The 21,460-nt window shown below is 44.1% G+C and overlaps 1 protein-coding gene across 11 annotated transcripts in view, besides 3 other annotated features; it reads left to right on the top strand.

Moving 5' to 3' along the window:
• Positions 1 to 21,460, top strand: part of EIF4E3 (eukaryotic translation initiation factor 4E family member 3) — a 95,411-nt gene that overhangs the window by 16,492 nt on the left and 57,459 nt on the right. For 5 of the 11 annotated variants that reach the window (NM_173359.5, NM_001134649.3, XM_047448063.1 and 2 more), the window contains exon 2: positions 9,659 to 9,806. Coding sequence is in view for 4 of the 11 variants with exons in the window: in XM_047448061.1 (XP_047304017.1) it covers positions 12,915 to 13,090 (176 nt within the window). In the remaining 7 variants the exon portion in view is untranslated. The other 6 variants (XM_047448061.1, XM_047448060.1, XM_011533651.4 and 3 more) reach the window with 3 other exon arrangements.
• Positions 8,090 to 8,384: an enhancer, noted in NCBI's record as "tiled region #3624; HepG2 Activating DNase matched - State 12:CtcfO, and K562 Activating DNase unmatched - State 12:CtcfO". NCBI's record gives its function as "activates a minimal TATA promoter and a strong SV40 promoter by Sharpr-MPRA in HepG2 and K562 cells {active_cell/tissue: HepG2 | K562}" and the evidence as "EXISTENCE:reporter gene assay evidence [ECO:0000049][PMID:27701403]".
• Positions 13,156 to 13,225: a silencer, noted in NCBI's record as "silent region_14522". NCBI's record gives its function as "represses an Ori minimal core promoter by ATAC-STARR-seq in GM12878 lymphoblastoid cells {active_cell/tissue: GM12878}" and the evidence as "EXISTENCE:reporter gene assay evidence [ECO:0000049][PMID:35858748]".
• Positions 13,356 to 13,475: a silencer, noted in NCBI's record as "silent region_14521". NCBI's record gives its function as "represses an Ori minimal core promoter by ATAC-STARR-seq in GM12878 lymphoblastoid cells {active_cell/tissue: GM12878}" and the evidence as "EXISTENCE:reporter gene assay evidence [ECO:0000049][PMID:35858748]".

The raw sequence follows: 21,460 nt of genomic DNA, 5'->3' as shown, positions 1-21,460 counted from the left end.
ATCACAGTTTTTTCTGTTGCATTTGGCTGGCATAGTTAGTTTTCTGTCTTGCAAGGCTGCTCCTTTGGCTAGAGAAACTAGACTCTTCTTGTCTGCGCTTGTTAGCATTTTCAGGTTGCCAGCTTCTCCATCTCTGAGTCTAAGAGATATGAGACAAAAAGAAAACCCAGGGAAGTTATTGCTGTGTTGTTCTTTAACTACTGAGGTCCCTAACTGGTATTCCACTTTTTGGCCTCTTTCAGAGTCTTCTTATGTTTATTTTATATAATGTTCAGGGTTTTTCACTATACTTCGTGGGAGGAATTGAGAAAGCATGTCTTATTCCATCTTTCTGGCAGAGAATCTTCTCCATTTTTGAATAGATATTTCACTGAGTATAGAATTCTAGGTTGACAGGTTTTCTTCTTTCAGTACTTTAAAGAGATTGTTCTGTTATCATCTTAGTTGTATGATTTCCTATGAAAAAAATCTCTGTTGTTGTTGTTTTTTGTTTGTTTGTTTGTTTGTTTGTTTTTTGGTAGAGATGAGAGTTCTTGCTATGCTACCCAGGCCGGTCTTGAACTCCTGGCCTCAAGCAATCCCCCTGCCTTAGCCTCCCCAAGTGCTGGGTTTACAGATGTGAGCCACCACACCCAGCCTAATTCTTATTTTGTTCCTCTGTATAAAATGTGTCTTTTTTTCTGCACTGTAGCAGTTTGATTATGCCCTTGCCCTGCCTTGGTGTGATTTTCTTCATGTTTTTTGTGATTGGAGTTCATTGAGATTCTTGAATCCAAGGGTTTATTCCTCTTAAGCAGTCACTCTCTAAAAGCAGGTGGCTCAACCCACCTTACAGTAAAAATTAGACTGCTATTAATTTGTAGTTGAACTCTGATATTTTCCAGGTTCTAAATTGTTTATTTAATAGGTGGTCATATGTTTTGTACACCAGATATTCAAGCACCTTCTGCCACAGTGCTCTGTTTTGAACATTTAGGGCATAACTTGAATATTTTCATAAGTCAAAGACTCACCTCATTTTCCAGATCATAGAGATGACTTCGGAGAAGTGAAACTTTTCCTAAAGTTTCCTGAAGTTGCAACTGTTAGGAGCACAGGCAGACTTAGGGTTTGAACTCCATACCTCTTGCTGGGTGATGATGGGAATGTTATTTAACCATTTTGAGCCTCCGGTGTGTAAAGTGGGAGATGATAATCATACTTGTTAATACCTCATCAGGTTGATATGTGAATTAGATGAGAATAGTTAAGGATTCACAAAATGGTAGCTATTGTTGCTGTTGATATTTTTCTTTAATAGACTTTCTTTTTTTAGAGCAGTTTCAGGTTCACAGCAAAATTGAGTGGAGGGTACAAGGAGTTTTCCATTTATCCTATCCTCATTTATGCATAGCCTTCTCCATTATCAACATGCCACACCAGATGGGTGCATTTTTTATAATCAAGGAGCCTATATTGACACATCATTATCAACCAAAGTCCATAGTTTACATTAGGGCTCACTCTCGGATTTGTATATTCTATGGGTTTTGATGAGTGTCCAATGACATGTATCCACCATTATAGTATCATTCAGAATAGTTTTATTTTCATAAAAATCTTTGCTCCGCCTATTCATTCCTTCCTCTCCTACACCTGAACCCCTGACAACCCCTGATCCTTTAACTGTCTCCATAGTTTTGCCTTTTCTGCAATGTTATGTTAGTTGGAATCATACAGTATGTGGCTTTTCAGATTGGCTTCTTCACTTAGTAATATGCATTAAAGTTTCCCCAATGTATTTTCATGGTGTAATAGCTCATTGCTTTTTAGCAGTGAATGATATTCCATTGTCTGGATGTACCATAGTTTACTGATCTACTGACTGCTAAAGGACATCTTGTCTCCTTTCAAGTTATGGCATTTATGAATGTAGCTGCCATAACCATCTCTGTGTGGGTTTTTGTGTGGACGTAAATTTTCAGCTCAATTGGGTAAATACCAAGGAGTATAATTGCTGGATCATATGGTAAGAGTATGTTTAGTTTTGTAATAAACTGCCAAACTGTCTTTCAAAGTGGCTGTACCATTTTGCATTCTTACTAGCATTGAGCGAGAGTTCCTGTTGCTCCACATCCTCACCAGCATTTGGTGTTACCAACGTTTCGGGATTTAGACATTCTAATAGGTGTATAGTGGTATCTCATTGTTTTAATTTGCAGTCTCCAGTGACATATGATATTAAGCATCTTTTCTTGGTACCTATTTGCCATCTGTATATCATCAGCAAGATGTTTGCTCAGGTCTTTTGTCCAATTTTAAAATCATGGTGTTCATTTTCTTATTGTTGAATTAAAAAATTTCTTTGTAGATTTTGGAGCTATTGGTATTTTTATTTGAATTACTATTATCTTAAGTGCTTGGACAAGAGTTTCATTAAGACCTCAGCATTTTAACCAGTAAAACATGAAAATGTTTTCTTCTCATTTTTTGGAGGGAGGTGGATAAATGATCTTCACTTGAAAAAAAAAAAATGAAAAGATGTTCTGGGTTACTTTGATCCAGAAAGAACTTCAGGCTGCCTCTTAAGTAGAGCTGTGACTTCATGGGCCCTTCATGCTCTAATAACCTCCCCACAAAATTAGTTTGTGCCATGTGTTTTTCAACAATTGCCTTATTAAGGAGTGGGAAGTACCTGCTTAGCACAGTATTGCGTTTCTTTGTTAGGAATCTGTGGATTCACAAGGTGCTCTGCTGTTATCAGGGTGGTGACATTACACCTATTAGCAAGTCTCCTCAACTTGCAGAGAACTGCTCTGGCCTGGATCATTCTGTAGAAAAACTAGTTACTAATGCTATTGAAGAAAAATATGTCCCATGATAGATGGAGGTATTATATTATCTGATTTCCATTCTCCCACCCTTCACTATGCATCAATAGATTTATATCATAGGATTCATTTTCGTTTTATGTCTTTTTATTTACGCACCAATTCTTTTGCAAGTAATTTTAATTCTTCGTTTTATGAGAATGAGGCTCTGTGCCTGTGTACTCCTATGTAAAATAAAGGAAATTATTGTTTTTAATGCAGATTTGAAAAAAATATAATGGATTTCAGCTACACCAATCTCTCCCCATTTAGATGAGATGAACACCTAGTTAGATGGGGAACGTCATTCCTCATATAATTTGAATACATCCTGTTTCCATGACAACTTGTACTTACCAGCTTGCCTGGTAAAAGAAGTGCTTGAATTCTTCCTCTGATAAAAGATTTGACCAACCACTGGGGCCCCAGTTTCTTAATTCCAATAATTTCATTCCAGCCTGGGGCCAGTTTTCTTTTTAACATGGGATGATGTTGAGGATTAGAAACCAAAAAACCATTTTAGAGGTGAATTCACCTCCAAAATAAAAGGAGAGGACTCATAGGCCAAATACTAATGAGCACGAGAAATGAAGATACTTGTGCAGGTCATAGTCATTTTCTGATATCTTCCAGTTAAATTGAATCAACAGAGATGATGCAACAACTTATTAAGATGCTATTTGATTTGACAAAGAATGATTCAGTTATTCATTTCCATCTGGACGTTATAATCAGTTGGCTTGTTTTTTTCACTGCTAATTTATATCTTGCCTTTATGGGTGGCTTGTGCCCTCTTACTGCTGAATTTCAATTCTAATAAGGAGTTTGGTTTTATTAATGATTTTCCCTCAGAATGAAAAATAGGAAATTATTTGCATCATTAACTGTGCTTTTGCAAACTATGAAAAACATGATACTGCATTTAATTGACAAATTTATGTTTCATGTGTTATAAAATATTTTAGTCCAATAAGGCAAGCAGACATGACCCTTAGGCATTTTAGGAATGATAGGGACTCATCCCAAATTTAGGATAATTCACAGTGTATTTCTGAGTGACCTGGTAGGTTTTGAAAGGACGAAAGTGACTCAGCTATCTCCAAGATCATTGTCAACCACAGTATATATTTGTGACATCAAATACTTGTATAAAGTCATCTGAGGGATACCATGTTCATCATAGCCTCCATGAGAGCTCCTCTTTTGTAATGATGACCTAGTATGATCAATATGTGCATCTTTTTAGCCTCTGGGAATAAGATACTGTCTTACCACAAACACTAAGAAAATTTAAAGCAAATACCATAAGGTGCAACCTGCCATTATGTAGATAATATGTAACTAATAAGAATGAACAGGAAAAGAGTGAAAAATTAACAGGATCTTTCTGTATTGTGAGTATGCAATTCCTGCTGATGGTAAAACAAAAGAGATTCAGTAACTGAAGGGGTCTCATTGGCCTAAACACTGCAAGTGTCCTTCTGTTTCTGAATGGTGCATTTTGCACAGTAGTTAGAGTTCTAAAAATGTCATGTAATTATGATTTTTTTTAGAAAACAAATAATGCAGCTTCCTTTCAAGAATTGCTTTATTTTCCTTTACTAATTGTTCATCAATTGATAATGGCTTCTCAAACTTTAGTGTACTTAGCTCTTAAGAAGTAAATGACTTATAAAGTATTTCAATCTACACTTTAATGAATGGTTTTAAATCACAGAAGGATTCATTATTCAGATATTTATTGACTTCCCAGTACATGAGCAGTACTTTATAATAGTCTCTGAGGACCTCAAAGGTGAGCTCCCCACCCCTCAGGAAGCTTGGGTTAAATATGGTACAGGGAAAGATGGTACAGGAGGTCTTTTTGCAGCCTGACTCATAACCTCCTAATATTTTGCCAAATCAGCTTATATTTTCTGTATCAAGATTTCTTATGTCATAAATATGATTATTTCAGCTTAAAATAAAGCTTCGGAAAGCACAATACACTTCCTCAGAGAACTGGCTTACAAAATGTTCCCCTAAATGATCTATGAACCGTAAATGAAATCCCCAAAACAAAATCTTATCCTTAAAGCAGCTTCTTAGATGTAAACAAATGACTTGCTTGCTGTTGATTTATCCCACTAGGCGAGCAGTTATCAGCTCATAGTGGGGATTAGAGGCCTCCAAGATGGTTGCTGAAATCCTCTGGAACAGGCAGTGCTCCAGGACCCGCTCCTTGTGTATCTACCGTTCGGGTTTTCCCAGGACCAAAGGGTTTTCTGGGACTCAGAACTTTCAGTGCTCAAATTGGAACAGTCCTAGGCAAATTGGGACAGTTGTTCACTCCACCTGTCTCTAGATCCCCAACGAGCATACAAAGGAGGACACTCGTATTCAAAAAGCAGAGAAGATGTAGGGTTATCCCCTCCAGGAACTGTGATAAGGAAACGAGAATCAACACTTGGGTGACCTTTTTTTGACTTTTATGTAGAGCCTCACCAAATGTTCCTGATTTGATCCTTCAGGCAGCACTGCAAAGCAGGTGTTATTGGCACACTCATTTTTTAATTGAGAAAAAAGGAGACTCAGAGGTTCACCGATTTGTCCCAAAGCACATGGCTGTTAGACATTGGCTCAAGCACATGTTTTTGGACTTTCCTCTGATCACATTGCCTCCCTACTGCTCATCGTTTCCTTTCTTTTAAAAATTGCTGAAGACCAATTTGAGGCCTGCCGGCTCTCCCCTTCAGTCCAGTTTCTGATGTAAGCTATCTCTGTATCTCTGATTGATTGGCTGGCCAGGAATGTTCAGAACTACTCTTTGATAAGAAGCCAGTGATTGGCAGAGTGTTTATTACAGGGTTGCACATGATAGCCACAATCACTGGTAATAATCTGTGTGCCTAACAGGAGGAGTTGGTTATACAAATCATTACTCCTCCAATCAGTGGAATTCTGTGTGGCCACAACAAAGGTCTTTAATCAGAGCTCTTAGACTGGCCACAAAACCTATATACTGACATCGTTGGGACTTTTTTTTTTTAAATCAGGGAAGAGATTTTTTTTTAAATCAGGAAAGTAGTTTGGGCACTGCCCAGCTGTGTCTCTAGAACTCTGTGAATCTCTTGTCCCTATCTGGGGTGTGTTTGGTGACTGATTCCCTGTGAGGGAACTTGGCCTGGCCCTTGAAGGATGGTTAGACAATTTAGATGGTCAGAGGAGAGAAGAAAGGTCTCAGGCAAAAGTGTGGAGATATGAGTACATATGGTGTGTTTACCAAGTGGGGAGTAAGCCCATCATTGATTCAGTAAAGCTGGGTCTCCCATGTGCCAGACACCGTGCTAGGAACCCAGAAGACAGTGGTGGAGGGGGTGGGCCCAGGCCTGTCTTCGGGAGCTCATGTTGTGGCAGAGCTGAAAATGCACCAAGAAATAGGGACAAATCTGTTTGGAATATATATATTTCCATGTATAGCTGTTTCTCCAAATATATAGATTTAACATATATATTCCAAGTATATGTAAATATAGGTGTATAATTATATCTCTCTAAATATATTTGGAAATATACTCGCAAATGCATTTGAAAAAGGGGGTCAAGGTGTGGACAATTTCAAAGGCTAGATTCCAGATTTCAGACCTCAGCCTGTGAGAAACAGGCAGCGCTTTAGGGCTTTTGAACAAAGAAGTAATAGGACAAAAGTGCTTTTTAGGAAGACCAACATGCCGTCCATGAGAAAGATACACTGGCAGAGGAGAAAGACAAGAAATTAGGAGACAAAGTCACAGACTCTTCCTTTCAACCAATATCTGCTGTATACCCAGTTTGTTTCCTTAATAAATGTTGCTGGTGTGCCAGCCATGGACAGGCCCTGCACTAGGCACTGGGTGGACAAAGGTGGACAAGAGAGGCCTGGCCCTCCCCACTTGGACTGGATATTCTGTTTCGGAAGATCGGCAGTTGATGTGTGCAGCTGACACGTGCACTGAAAAAAATAATGAGGAAGGGGAGAAGACCTGCTTTAGAGTGGAGGCCTAAGGCAGGAGAAGGAGTCAGCCATGCAAGCGGAGGGACTAGCAGTTCAGGAGAAAGAACAGCATATGCAGGTGCCCTGTGGCCACAGAGAAGCTTTGAGGCAGGGGGAGAGATCAGCCATGGATTTGGAAAGGCAGGAAGGATCCAGAAGATGCCAAGTACTGTTGGCCACCAGAAAGAGTCTGGGTTTTTTTCTGAGAGCAGGCAGAAGCAAACCAGTGTTTGAGGACTGTTGTTCAGGCTGCTGTCTGGCAGGAGATGAGAGGGTCGGGTGTTAGAAGCAGGGAGACCCGTTAGGAGGCTGTTGCAGTCCTCCAGGCCATGCTTGGCTGACTCAGGAGTGAGGACTGGGAGTGGCTGGCACCAGTGGGAATAAAGAAGGAAGAGCAGGCTAGGCACTGTGGCTCACGTCTGTAATTCCAGCATTTTGGAAGGCTGTTGTGGGAGGATCACTTGAGGCCAGGAGTTCAAGACCAGCCTGAACAACATGGTGAAACCCTGTCTCTACAAAAAATTTAAAAATTAGCAGGGCATGGTGGCATGTGCTTGTAGCTACTGGGGAAGCTGAGATGGGAGGATTGCTTGAGCCTGGGAGGCCGAGGCTGCATGAGCCAAGATTGTGCCACTCCACTCCAGCCTGGGCAACAGAGCAAGACTCTGTCTCAAAAAAAACAACAACAATAATAATAGAGAAAAAGAAAAAAAGAAGGAAGACCAACACACGGATTGCAGGCAGATCAGGACGAGAACTCAATGTCTGATAGGTGGATGGATGTGGAGAGTGGGACAACCAAACCTCAAGGCCACATTTTCCAGGCTCAATGACCACATGGACCTCAGTGTCCTCACTGCAGATGCTTAACACATGCCATTTCCTTTGCCCCTTTCTCTTCCATTAGCAGCTCTGAACAAGAGAGGCCTGGCCTGGCCCCTAAAAGATCTTCAGAGGTCTTTTGGAATCTAGATAAATAACACTAGTTGAGCTTTTTCTATGTGCAACTTGCAAGGTGCTTTATAGACAATGTTTTCTTATACATGGCTCAGAGCAGTCCCTTGAGAGTGCTCTTGTTATCTGTACCCTAGATGAGGAATCTGGAGCTCAGCAAGGTTAATAACTTCCCAGAGTCACAGGGTTTACCTATGGCAGGATCTTGGTTAGAGCAGGGATCAGTCTCACTCTGAAGCAATCACTCTTGAACCACACCGCAGCCTCCCCTGACCCGTGAGTATCCCAGAATAGTGTCAAGTCTCCCCTACCTTTCCAAGCCATTGCTCTAGGACTGACCAGCTGCAACACACCTTTGCTGGAAGCTTCAGTGAGGGCCTCTGCCCCAGGCCAGTCCCTTCCTGTGCCCTGTACCTACCGGCACTGAAGACTGCCATCTAGTGGCCATTGCCTTCCTTTTTCTTTTGCTGTTAAAGGAAAACGGAGTTCCCACATAAAAGACAGGCCTGCATATTTATAGTATCACACCCTGTAAACAGGAAACTTCTCAGTGTTAGAGAAGGAGCCCAGCAACATAAACAGCATATTGCCAATGAGTTCCGCCACCCATTCAACAAACACTTAAATACACACACACACACACACACACACACACACACACACACACATTCTATTGGAATGTAGGCTCCCAGAGAGAGGAATTTCTTTTGTCTGTATTGCTAATGAACCTGGAGAGCTTAGAACAGTGGCATTTGCATAGCAGATATGCAACAAATATTTATTGAGTGTGGAATGAATGAACGCCTGACATTTACTGTATCTTTACTATATACCAGGGACTTGACATATACATTTTCTCATTTAATCCTAACGATAACTCGAGAGATAGAGACCATTAGCATGTCCAGTCCTCATATGTGGAGACTGAGGCACAGAGAGGGTAGGAAGCTTGCCAGGTTTAGGGAGAACTAGCTTTGACCCAGGTTTTCTGACATTAGAGACCATGTGTTCCCTCCTTTCAAGGGAGCCACTGGCCAATTCCCTCCCATGTTCTGCCTTTATTGAGTGGAAGGCTCCCTTCCCAAAGTGTTGAGACAGAGGCCATCAATGGAGGGAATGTCACTAGCTAACTCTGTGGCTGTGTGACTTCCAGTGTCCCTGAACCTCAGGTTCCTCATTGGGTAAAGGAGGAGACTGAGTTAGGACCCCTGCCTTCCCTTCCAACGTCATCATTCTGCTGTTCCTGTGACTCCCAGGGAGCAGATGTGAGTAGAAGAGAGAGGACCACTTGTTGCTAGGCAACCAGCACCCACCTCACCCATGTTGCCATGGTGATGATGAAAGTTGGGCTGATGGGATTACCAGCTCCTGCTAATTGCATATGAGTGCTCAGGTTTCTGTCTCTTTCTTGCCTGCTTGCTCGCTCTGACTTTCTCATTCTTCTAGGAACTGTAGAGCGATTTCCCCCTCTCCTCCATCTGCAGCCTCCCTGAGGCAGCCCTAGTGCAATGGAAAGCAACTGGGAATGGAGCCTGGCTGTGTGTCTGAATAGCTGTGTGACCTTGGGCAGGTTACCCAGCTTCTCTGGGCCTTTCTTTTCTCATTTGGAAAATGAAGGTGTTGGAAAAGTGATCCCTGTCTAAGGTTCTTCCCGGCTCTCAAATCCTTTGATGCCTAGGGAGCTTGTCAGGGGAGCAGACCACACTGTTACTAGGCAACCAGCAGGCACCCTGCCCAAGTTGCCTTGGTGACTGGATGCTGGAGGGGAGGGGAGTAGCTGCTGCAGCTAATTGCTTAATTATTTATGAGTGCCTCAAGTCCTTCTTGTTGTTTTTGTTGCTAGGGGCTGTGGGGTCACCTTCTCTTCCTCTCTTCTGCCACCCCAAGTCGTCTGTGTTGCGTGTCATGCAGTGGGACAGCACGTTGGTCCGGACCTCAAGCTACCCACGTTCTAGTCCCGCCTCTGTCATTTCCTAGAGCTGTGGCCTCGGGTAAGTCACCTCACCTCTCTGGGCCTCAGTTTCCTCATTTGTAAAGTGATGGGTTTGCTTAGATGATCGCTGAATCCCCTTTCTACCTTGAAATTCTAGTTCCTGCCATCCAGTTCCCAGATGAGGGAAATTTCCCCAATTTATTATCTTCTAAGAATGATTCTGAAGAGCAATAAAAATAATTAAGTCTCTTACATATTTCAAACAGGAAGGGAATGAAAGTTGTGACCATTGTTCCCTCCTTAGCCATTTTGTATAATCTCTTTTATTAATCTTAAGGTCATTTAAATTTTATCTATTCATATATACCACCTACTTCCAAAATAAATTTGAGGGGTTCAGTGTAAGGTGCATATATGCTATTAGGTCTTTAAAATAGAAATAGGAATAAATATAAAAATAGTGATGCTTCTTCATTGGCTAATATTGGTGCTGTGATTGAGCACCAAATGTAATTATGAGCAGCCTGGAAGCCAAAGCAAAAAGAGAGAAAGGTATATAATTGCTATTCAGTAAAGAAAAACTGCCAGACTGTTCCTAGTTCTAAATTCTGGAGGGAATTTTTTCATGTGGTACACAATCCTTTTACAGAAACTGCAGATAAAAATTCTTGACTAGCCCTTTTTTGCTGAGGATATTGTTAAAGGACATAAGGAAGGAGCTAAACTTGACAGTTTGACTAGCTTTAATCATTAGAAAGCAAAACTTCCTTTCTACCCATGCCTTGGAATTTTATACAGATATGTGTCACTTCGTAAATATAAATTTTCAGAATCAACCATTATTTATATATCAGCTATATATAAATTCATGTAACCACTTTGCAAAGCAATTTGGCAATATGTATCAAATTTTTAAATGCAGCCAACAATTCTTCTCCAAACTTATTCTGAGATTAGCTTGTGTAGATGAAGAAAGCCATAAATATAAAAATACTTATGGTAGCATTATTTATATAAGAAAATGTCTAGAAACCACATAAATGTTGGAGGCTAGTGAATTAAATTATATTACCTCTTTACAATGAATTACTTTGCAGCCCTTAAGATAAAGTAGATCTATATGTTTTGATATGGAAAAATCTTCAAGGATATAATGTTAAGTGAAATAAGAAGGTACAGCATTGGTATTAAATGCTTCCATTTTGGTTATAAAAAAGATATAGATTTATAACTTATGAATCTAGATATATGCTTGCATGTGCATACTTGCATTTTTCTGGAAGGAAACTGTTGCCAGTGGTTTCCTCTGGGAATGAAGATTGATAGTCTTGGGAGGGAGGGAGACCTACTATTCACAGCTTGTTTTTACGTTGTGGACTTGTTAGTGTTCTGTGTAGAGAGGTAGGAGAGTCTGGCAGTTGAAAGTCTAGACTCTGGAGTCTGAATACCTATGTTCAAATCCCAGCTGTCCCACTTACTAGCTCTGTGACCTTGGGGTTATCTTAATCTTATCTCTGTTCCTCATCTGTAAAATGGGTTAATAGTATCTTCCTCATTGGCTTATTGTAAGGATTAAATGAGTTATTACGGGTAAAGTGCTCAGAGCAGTTTAAACAATGCCATATACCACGCTTCTTGGAAAAATGAAAGGAGATATTAAGCAACAAGATAAATGCATCTAACCAAAAGCACCCTCCCCTGTTTTAGTGTTGGACAGATTTTATAAAATCTGTCATTGCTTCCAGCATTGTATGTTGTATAGAAGTTAAGTTTAAAGCAGCGGTCTTGTTTTTATTATTGTCACTTTATGTGACCTTGATTACCTTTTAGGGAGGGCATCTACTCTGGGATTCATGACAGTCTGCTATGATGCTGTTGATGCCCCTGAACTCATCTTGTTTTGTAGCTCTTCCATCCCAGCGAATGCTCAAGGCATGAACAGAACACATGCTAGGCCAGGTAGAAGGTCAATGAGGAGATGGCATCCCACGCCCTTCACTGTTCAAAGCCAGAGAGGAACTATCTAGAAATTCAAGTGTAAAGAGGATGTCCATGCTGGTTGTGACATGTGTGTTCACAGGCCTCATGCCTTTGCTTTTCTTTTGAAAAAGAAAGTGACAGAGACCTGGGGAGATGCTGTGTTAGGAGGGCCCCTCCTACTTTGGGCTCAGGAATCTCACCGCCTAAGGGACTTCCTGGGTGCTCAGAGGTACAGGAAGCAGAGCGCTCTGTGTTCACAGGTGCCCGCTTTCCTCCTCCCGACTCGCCGGTGCTTTAGGGCAGATCTGGATACTTTGGCTGATTTTGGGAAATGTTCTCTGAAGTTAGCCACACGTTAAGCCAGGCTTGAGGCCTTCACTGTGGTCACATGGTAGCTCCAGAGGTTGGGATGGGGGCTCTGGCCCCTTCAAATCAGCGGAGTTAGGAAGTATGCTCTCACCAAGAGGAATGCAAAGCCCACCTGCTCCAACCTCATGCCCCAGTCGGTGGTTCTCTTGTTCGTTCTTCTTTCTCGCCCTTTGTTCTGTACTCGCGGGCACTGGAGTCTCTTTATCCATTTGGCCATCGGTTCCCCTCTCCATTTATCTGTCACACCCAACTGTGCTTCCATCTGCCCTCCATCCCTCCTTCTCTCCTCCAGCCATCTGCCAGCCTTCACTCCATCCTTCTGACTGCTGGTATGTCTGTCCATCCCTCCTTCCCTCGCACCACGTGGGTCTGGGGCTCCATCCCCTGTCCCATCCATCCCTCCATCTGTCCCTAGCCTGCCGCTCCATCCCGCTGCCCTTTTGCATGGCTGCAGAGCCAGCCCGCAGACCGTTCCCCGGTCCCTCTCACCCCCGTGGGCCCTCTAGCCCGTCCCCGGCCGCCACTCCAGGCCAGGCCGTCAGTCTCCCACGCTGGGCCCGCGCCTGAGCGGGATCGGCCCCCCATCCCTCCGTGGGTCTGTCTTTGTTCGGCGGCCCCGGCCCGGCCGTGCCTCCCACGGCCCCTCCGCGCGGCTCCCAGGCCCTGAAGGCGGCGGGCGGCGGGCGGCGGGCGGCGGGCGGCTAGCCCGGGGCGGGGCGGGGCGCGCGGGGCGGGGCGGGGCGGGGGCCGGGGGTGACTCAGCCGCGCTCGCCCCGCGGTCCGCGCGTCCGCCGGCCTTGCAGGCGGGGCGGAGAAAATGGCGCTGCCCCCGGCCGCCGCGCCCCCCGCCGGGGCCCGGGAGCCGCCGGGGTCCCGCGCCGCCGCCGCTGCCGCCGCCCCCGAGCCGCCGCTCGGCCTGCAGCAGCTGTCGGCGCTGCAGCCTGAGCCGGGCGGGGTCCCGCTGCACTCGTCCTGGACCTTCTGGCTCGACAGGTGAGGGGGCGCGGGGCCCGCCGCGCACGGCCCCGACCCGGGTCCTGCCGCCACCGCCGCTTTGTCTCGGCGCGGCCCCTCGCCCCGGCCCCGCTCCGCTGTGGCACAGACCTCGGCCCCTCCGCGCGTCCGCCTGCGCACCCCGGGACTCGCCCCGCCGGGTCGGAAGCCAGCTTCGGGCCGCGCCGGGCGGCTGTTCGGCGTCCTCGCCTCCGGGCCGGGGGAGGACAGCGCAGCCCGAAAAGTTTCGGCAACACTTTCTACCCCTTGTTCCCTTCCGATCGGAACGCGGCGTGCTGGCAGGGCCGTGGGAGAGGGTAGGCGAGCTGGGGGTGGCCGCGTCCCTGCTGCAGGGAGAGGGCTGTCCTGCTTACCCCGCGGGGCGCCTGGGAGCTCAGGACACGACCTCAGCTGTGACAGCGCTCGGAAAAGTTGCCCATCCCTTGGGAGGTGTGCGGTGGTGCAATGATTATTGCACGGCGGGCGCTCCCACCCCGTGTCCGGCCGCTGCTGCCGTGGACTCCTCTTCCAGTTCTTCCTCATCCACTGGGCAGGTATTTCCTGAACACCTACAGTGGAGCCACACACCTGCTATGCGCTGGAGATTCAATAATGAGCAGCAGCTGACCTTGTCAGGAAGGGGGTGAATTATGGCTTTCTCAAGGGACAACCCAGGTGCCATCTTTTCAGAAAGACCCCCTGACTACCGTATCTAAAATAGAAACCTTGCTCCCTCGTTTTGTATTCTCCTGCCCTGCCTTCTTTTTCTTCCTAATGCTTAATGCAGCTGGATTTTATTATATATGAATTTGTTTACTTTCAGTCTGTCTCCCCAGCTCCTCAACACCTCCCCTCAGTTAAGGATAAAAGAGCAGTGGATTTTTGTTTTTGGACATTTTGGACCTAGAACTGTGCCTGGTCCCTAGTAAGAACACCAGAAATTGTTATGAATGAATAGATGGATGAATGCAAAGCCCCTTCTTAGTGTCTGCCCTGCAGTGGGTGCCCAATGATGACACCTCAAGGTTGTCCCAAGAGCATTTGGAAATTTTGATGAAACCGTGTCTATTCTGGCTAAGTGTTAGGAAGAAATGTGTGACAGTGTTCTGAGAAGTTTGCTTGGTACACACAAATCTGGTTTTAAAAGGCTTTGCATAAAATGACTGCAAGATTTTGTTTTAAAAAAGTGATATTCATTTTTTTTTTGGTTAAGACAAGCTCATTTCTTTTTTCCTTTTGGGTTCTTATAGCACCCGTCTATAAGAATTGTCACTTGCTGCCATTTTCTTTGCCGGAGACCCAAAAAAGTTGGGGGTGGGGGAGATGGAGTGAGTTTCGTTCTTTCAAAACATTTTCACTTTCATTATGGGATGCTAAGAGAGCATTATACTGTCATAACAAGCGTGCTTTTGGCAGACCTTAGCAGAATGAAATCGTGTCTGTTTTCATAGGTGTGCTGCAACTGTGCTATTGTTACCTGGTATCTGTTTTCAAGGTGTTAAACCTGGACCTGTGGTCTAAATTGTGAATACTGCTGACTGGTGGAAACAGTATCAAGAGAGTTTCTTTTTAAACAGGTCTAAAATTAGTTTACATGTAGGAACAACACTTTTAAGGACTGGTCTAAAATGTCAATACTACAGATAACACAATCTTTTAAGACTAGTAGCTTAAGATTATAGTAACTTTAATGAAGACAAAAACTATATCTATACTATTGATTTACACATTTTTGTTCTCTAAAGGTCGATCATCAAATGAAATACATTATTGCCACAGTGTCCAGATCTTTAATAGAAATGGCTGTATTAATTTAGAAATTATAATGAGTTCCAATATTGTACATATGAATTCATTTTGCCCGATCAAACAACTCATAATTTTTATTGAACTTTTTCTCCTTCTGTGGGAATCCATTACCTTTATATAGGGTGCCCCTCTCCCCCTTGAGGTTATGAACACATTATGATCTAGAAGTTCATTAGTAACTTTTCTCCCCAGGTAAACAACATTCTAGAGACTGGTGAGGTTCTCAGGAGAGCCCTCCAAGGCAGCCTTACCTGCAGCATAGCCAATGTCTGCCTGGCAAGATGACATCGGTTTTTGAGTTCCATAGCATGCAAAGGCCTCTTGCTACTTAAAACTCCCCTTTGGCATCCTACCTCCCGGCCTGTCCTACTTTCCAGCCTACTGTGTGCTGATGAGCAAGCCATCTAGCTGCCCCAAGCCTCACTTTCATTGTAAAATGGGATAGTCATAGGCTATGTCTCACAGGGCAGTTCTGAGGATTAAATGAGAGACATGATGTACAACACCTAACAGGTGCCAGCTGGTAGAAGGAGCTTCCTAAGCATAAACTACTAACACTGTCATTACCATGCTCCCCAGCTACCAACCCCTCCCCATACCCACACCCCAACAAACAGTCTCTGGAGCAGCTTGTCTGAATTCTGTGTTGGGAAGCCAGAAACCTAAATTCATTCCCCTCACTGGATGAGTTGGAGAACTCCTCTGTAAAGTTATTAGTATTTTTAATAGTCAACTCCAATAAGTCCTTATTTGGTTAAAAAATTAGACTGTATGGTTAAGGATTTCGGCATTTGAGGAAGGTAATTTTAGATTGGGGGTACAGGCTGAAGAGTTTTTCTCCCCTTTTCTGGACATTTAAAACTATCCTGTCTTGATTCTTGGAAGCCACTCTGGGTTATGTGTCTCTAACTGCTTCCTTTTGATCTTATGGTGACCCGCTCGCCTCTGAGTTTTTTCCCACAAGACTCAGGCCTCAGGCCTCTTCTTTGTGCCATTTACACCAGGGATCTCATCCAGTCACAGTGCTTTCAGGTCCACCTGAATTCTGGTGACTCTCAAAACCTTACACTCTTAGATCCAGTGCTCCTTCCCCTTTGTCTCCATGGATGTCCAATGTAATACACAACCAGACTCAACATATACTGAACTACCTCCTCAACTGCCTTCCCAAACTTGTTTCCTTCTATCTGTATCTCAGATAAGAGCAGTTAAGAGCAAGTCTATCCTTCCAGTTGCCCAGCCCAGAAATCTTAGAGTCATCTGTAACCACCTCCCACCCCCGCCCCCCCGAGGAAAAGCCAAAGGGCTTACAGGAACCATAAAGCTTTGCAGCTCTTCCTGCCCCACCCAGGACCCTTTTCTCCCTTGTCACTCTCCCTTCTGCCATGCCCTTCTTTCTGCTCATCGGTCCCCTTGCTCTTTCGCCTTCATCCCAAGCAGGGACCTTAGCCACTGACACCCCCTACTGCTTGGAGTGCTCTCACCTCCATCAGTGCTTGCCCTGCTCTTTCCTGTCCTTCAAGCCTCTGCTCACATGTCACCTTCTCAGACCTTCCATATTAGTCTGTTCTCACACTGCTACGAAGAATTACCCAAGACTGGGTAACTTATAAAGGAAAGAGGTTTGACTCACAGTTCCACGTTGCTGTGGAGGCCTCAGGAAACTTACAATCATGGTAGAAGCCAAAGGAGAAGCAGGCACCTTCTTCACAGGGCAGCAGTACCAAGTGAGTGCAAGCAGGGTAAATGCCAGACACTTATAAAATCATCAGATCTCATGAGACTCACTCACTATTACGAAAACAGCATGGGGGAAGCCACCCCCATGATCCGGTTACCTTCACCTGGTCCTGCCCTTGACATATATGGGGATTATGGAGATCACAATTCAAGATGAGATTTTGGGTGGAGACACAGCCAAACCATCTTATGTTGCCTGACCACTGTTATGAAATGGCGCAAGCATCCTGACACACACACCCCGAGCCCCTGACCCTGTTTTATTTTCTCCATAGCATTACCACCATTGGCTTGTCTTCTCCCACTAGGATGTAAACCTCATGAGGGCAGAGTTCTCGTCCCGGATGCCTTGTCCTTAGCTCCTGGATTGGAGCCTAGCACAAGTCAGTCCGCACTGAATACCCTGAACAGGGTGTTGTTGAATTCTACCCGCAGTGACTTCACCTTCTCCTGTGGTGGCTCCATTACTCTGCTAATCATTTGCAAGTCTCCATCTCCAGCCTTCAGCTCTCTTCGGAGTTCTGGACACATGTCTGAAAGCTAAGGAAATCCACAGGCACTTTAAATGCAGTACTGATTCTTCAGTGACTGAGCTCATTTCTCTCTATTCTCTTTCTTTTCTGCTGACCACGTGTTGGTTAACCATCCTGCCATACTTCCAGTTTTTCAGAATTGGAATTTCCATTTGATCCTTGAATCTTCTTTCTCTCAAGCACCCTCCTCCATCCAGTTCTATATTTCATACTGTTAATTCCCCTGGGAAAACTTGATCCAAGTCTAAGCCATTTTCCTCTCTCCATGCCCTCTCTCTGCAGGTTCTGGTTATGTCTAGTTCCAGTTACCTCCTAGCCGGCTCTTAGCTTCCTGCCTGCTCCCAAGCTCTGCCCCTTTCCAGGCATCCCCCACCTGGACTGGCATGGTTAGCCTTCTAAACATACGCCTTATCTTACCATTCCAAAACTCCTTTGCCCTGTTCCTCTGCCATAGCAGCAGATTTTTACTTTATGTCTCTTACCACCTAAGAGGACCTCTTTTATGAAGTTGTGTGATCCAGACAGTAGGGATTCTGGATCTCCACCACTACGTCTACCAGAGCAGCTTTGAGAGGTGGTGGTGTGGTGGTTTGTTTTTAGAAATGGGACCCCTTAGGCTGGATGTGGTGGTTCATCCGTGCAATCACAGTACTTTAGGAGGCTGAGGAGGGAGGATCTCTTGAGGCCAGGAGTTTGAGACCAGCCTAGGCAACATAGCAATACCTCGTCTCTATTTTAAAAAAAAAATTAGCCGGGCATGGTGGCAAGAGCCTGTAGTCCCAGCTACTTGGGAGGCTGAGGCTGGAGGATCCCTTGAGCCTAGATGTTTGCTTGAGCCTGAATTTGAGGATGCGGTGAACTATGATCACACCAATACACTCCAGCCTAGTTGACAGAATGAGACCCGCCTCTACAAATACTTACATATGTACGTACATACATATATAAAAAGACCCCTTTAGTTTCAATAAAAGATTCCCTACTTTTTTTTTTTAAGGAAAACTATGGACTTAGAGATTATGGTATACATTCATATATTGCTTTTTTAAGTGGAACCCACCTCTTAAAATATAAGATATGAATATATATATATATTTTGAGACAGGCATTCTCTGTTACCCAGGCTGGAGTGCAGTGGCGCAGTCATGACTCATTATAGCTTCTACCTCCTGGGCTCAAGCAATCCCTCCACCTCAGCCTCCCAAGTAGCTGGGACAACAGGCATGTGCTACTACACCCAGCTAATTTTTGTATTTTTTGTAGAGACAGGGTCTGACTGTGTTGCCCAGGCCGGTCTCAAACTCCTGGGCTCGAGCAATTCTCCCACCTCAGCCTCCCAAAGTGCTGGGATTAGAGGCGCCCTGTCCAAACCCACCTCTTCTTTAACCTTATCACCTACCACTCTTCAACTCCACATTACCACTCAGTCTGTCCACTCTTCCTGGTCACGTCAGACTACTGGCCCTTTCCTTGGATAGATCTAACTTCCTTATGTCTGTGACTCCAGAGAGTGCACATTACAGTGCCTGGTACACAGTAGGTGCTGAGTATTTGCAGACTTTTTTTTTTTTTTTCATCAGAAAGGTGAGCCATCATATACAGCTGTCACCAACCCTACCCAATCATGGTTTAGCTCCACCAAGCCTGTGTTTCTCAAAGTGTATTCCCTCATCCGCCCATCAGAATCACCTGGCTGTGCTTGTTACAATACAGGCTCCCCACCCTGCCCCAGACCTACTCATTCAGACCTCTGTGGTGAAAGGTAGATTTGTAACAAATGCCATAGAAATCCAAACTTGAGAGTTACTGCTCTAGGTATTGATCATATCAATTGAGTATATTATTTACCAGTCACCATTCCAGGTTATAAGATTGCAAACATGACTACACCTTGGGCCATGTCCTCGCAGGAGGGATATCTCACATGCTGAATGTTTCAGTAGTATCAATGAAGAATTCTGAGAAGTGTTGAGTTCTACAGGGACCCACCCTAAAGGGTGCAGTACTTCAAAATACATTCCAATGGTGTGTTCCATAATAACAAATCTGATATGGGAAGGTAGGGCTGAGCTTGACAAAAGGGACCCCAAAGTCATCCTTGTTCATTGAGTTGCCTACTGGGACTAGGTTGGGGAGGAGACTGGATGGAAGGGCCATGGTTGACAGGGACAGAGTGGCTGGCATCTGAACTTTTCTTGTCTTTTTCCCACACTTGCCCTCCTGAATCTGTAAACTCTAAATGGCCCAGGATTTTATTTTTTGTGAGGGGTAAAGGTCCTCTGAGAACATCTGGCAGGGCAAGGCCCTGACATAGAGTACTTCCAGCCTTTCTACCTCAGGTCAGTGGTTGCTTCTTGCAGAAAAGTATGAGGGCCTTTCACATCCTCACTCAGAAAAGTTTCTGGTCCTTACCTGGCACTAGCTGCTCAAAAACATTTCTGCTTTTAATATTACAGAGACCATTTAAACTTACTTCCAAACCCGGGGCACATGGCAACAATTTAGTGATCTGTCATGGGAATGGTTCACAACTTGGTCTTTCTTAATTTTGTCGTAAACTCTTAACACTGCTGTACTTCTCTACCCATCCTCCATGTACTGAAGGGATTAATATATCTCAAGATGAAAGGAGCCCCAGTTGCTACTGTTAAAGAGCTGTAAGATAGACTAGGAATGACCATAGGAAGGCAGGGAGAAATCAAAATCAAATAAACATGCAGAAATAAAACCTTTAAATGATGTATATATTTTCAGTAGATGCATTATTAACTGTCAGTAATAGGGCTTGGGCCATTTTTGTATGCGACTCTTGATCAGACAGGAAGCTGGTGTAGCCGCAAGCCACAGGTCTATCTAACAGTGATTAAAATGAAATCATCTTTAATGGAGTGAATGGCATACGAGGGGCATACTTAATCATGTAACTGGGCTGTACAAATTTTCCCTCTGACAGCTGAGCCCGATGTTGTAAATCCAACAGGAAGACTGGCATTTAGAAGATATAACTCTGCCTTTAAAGTCTTCCCCTTTAAGGTGGGTTCTCTTGGCTGAAACAAAATTATCTCTCACATAGGATGGAATATTGTCATCATTGGTTTTTTCAGCAAACATTTATTGTGTGCCTGTGTATTGGGCATGTGTATCGAGTAATTGGATATACTGTACCACATACTGTTTCAGACATCTTTTCCCACTTTAACTTGTTAATATGAACTACAATTTACTCATTCGTGTTAAGCACTGGACTGGATACTGTACATAATTATCCATAAAATTCTCACATTATTGAAGTAGGATATATCAGCAACATTTTACAGATGAGAAAATTGAGGCCCAGAGAAGTAACTTGCCTGAGGTCACACAGCAATATAGAACAGAAACAGGATTTGAATTAGGACTGTATGACTCCAAGCCCTGGTGTCCCTAACCCCACTGCACATGGCTTTCCTGTGAGCATGAACACAGATGGGACACAATTCTCTCATCCTAAAGTATCGGAGCTGGACAGGACTTAAGAGGTTATCTGGCTCTACCTCTTAATTTTACAAATAAGGAAACCAAGAGCCAGTTTCATGGGAGATGATTAAGCCAAGGACTCCCTGCCTCGGAATTTGCTGAGAAAAGAAGAGAGCCCTTGCCTGAAAACCCATATTTAAGTGCTTTTACAGAACTGTCCTTCACATATAAGGATAACTTCTTCTTGATGTCTTTGGGTGATGACAAATGCGCTTGTGACAATAGTGATTTTTACATTTGTCTTGTGATGCTGTAGTTCATTAGATTTTACTTTCCAAGTTAGCATTTCTTACGATAACTTGATTTAGATGACATAGGCCAGCATGTCTCAAACTCTAATGTACATGCAAATCACATAGGATTTAGCAGGTCTCATGAGGACCTGGAGATTGCCGCTCCAACAAGCTCCCGGGTGATGCTACCCATTGCCTGGTTGCACTTTGAGTGGCAAAGATGCAGCAGGGTTCGAAGAAACCGTTTCAGCTTCTTTACTTTGTAAGAAGCATCTCTAGGCATACATATGGATTGTAAGTGGTGCTGTGGTCTGATAAAAGATAGCCAGGTAATGATTAAGATAGTGTCCTTAGGTATTTACAGAGGTATCTATCTCCATGAACTTTCTTAATGAGCTTAGGCTGCAGCAATTATATCTTTAAAAGTGGGGTTTAATGGGGAAGGCATATTTGGGAAGTCTGAATGGAGGATTGTAAGCTGCAGGACAGCTGGGGCCATGCTTGGTGCAGTGTTTTTATGAGGGTGCCAGGCTGAATAT

This window comes from Homo sapiens, chromosome 3, assembly GCF_000001405.40.
Source record: "Homo sapiens chromosome 3, GRCh38.p14 Primary Assembly".
NCBI classification, from domain to species: Eukaryota; Metazoa; Chordata; class Mammalia; order Primates; family Hominidae; genus Homo; species Homo sapiens.
The sequence above is the reverse complement of the archived record's forward strand: the minus strand, read 5'-3'. Positions and strand labels throughout refer to the sequence as shown.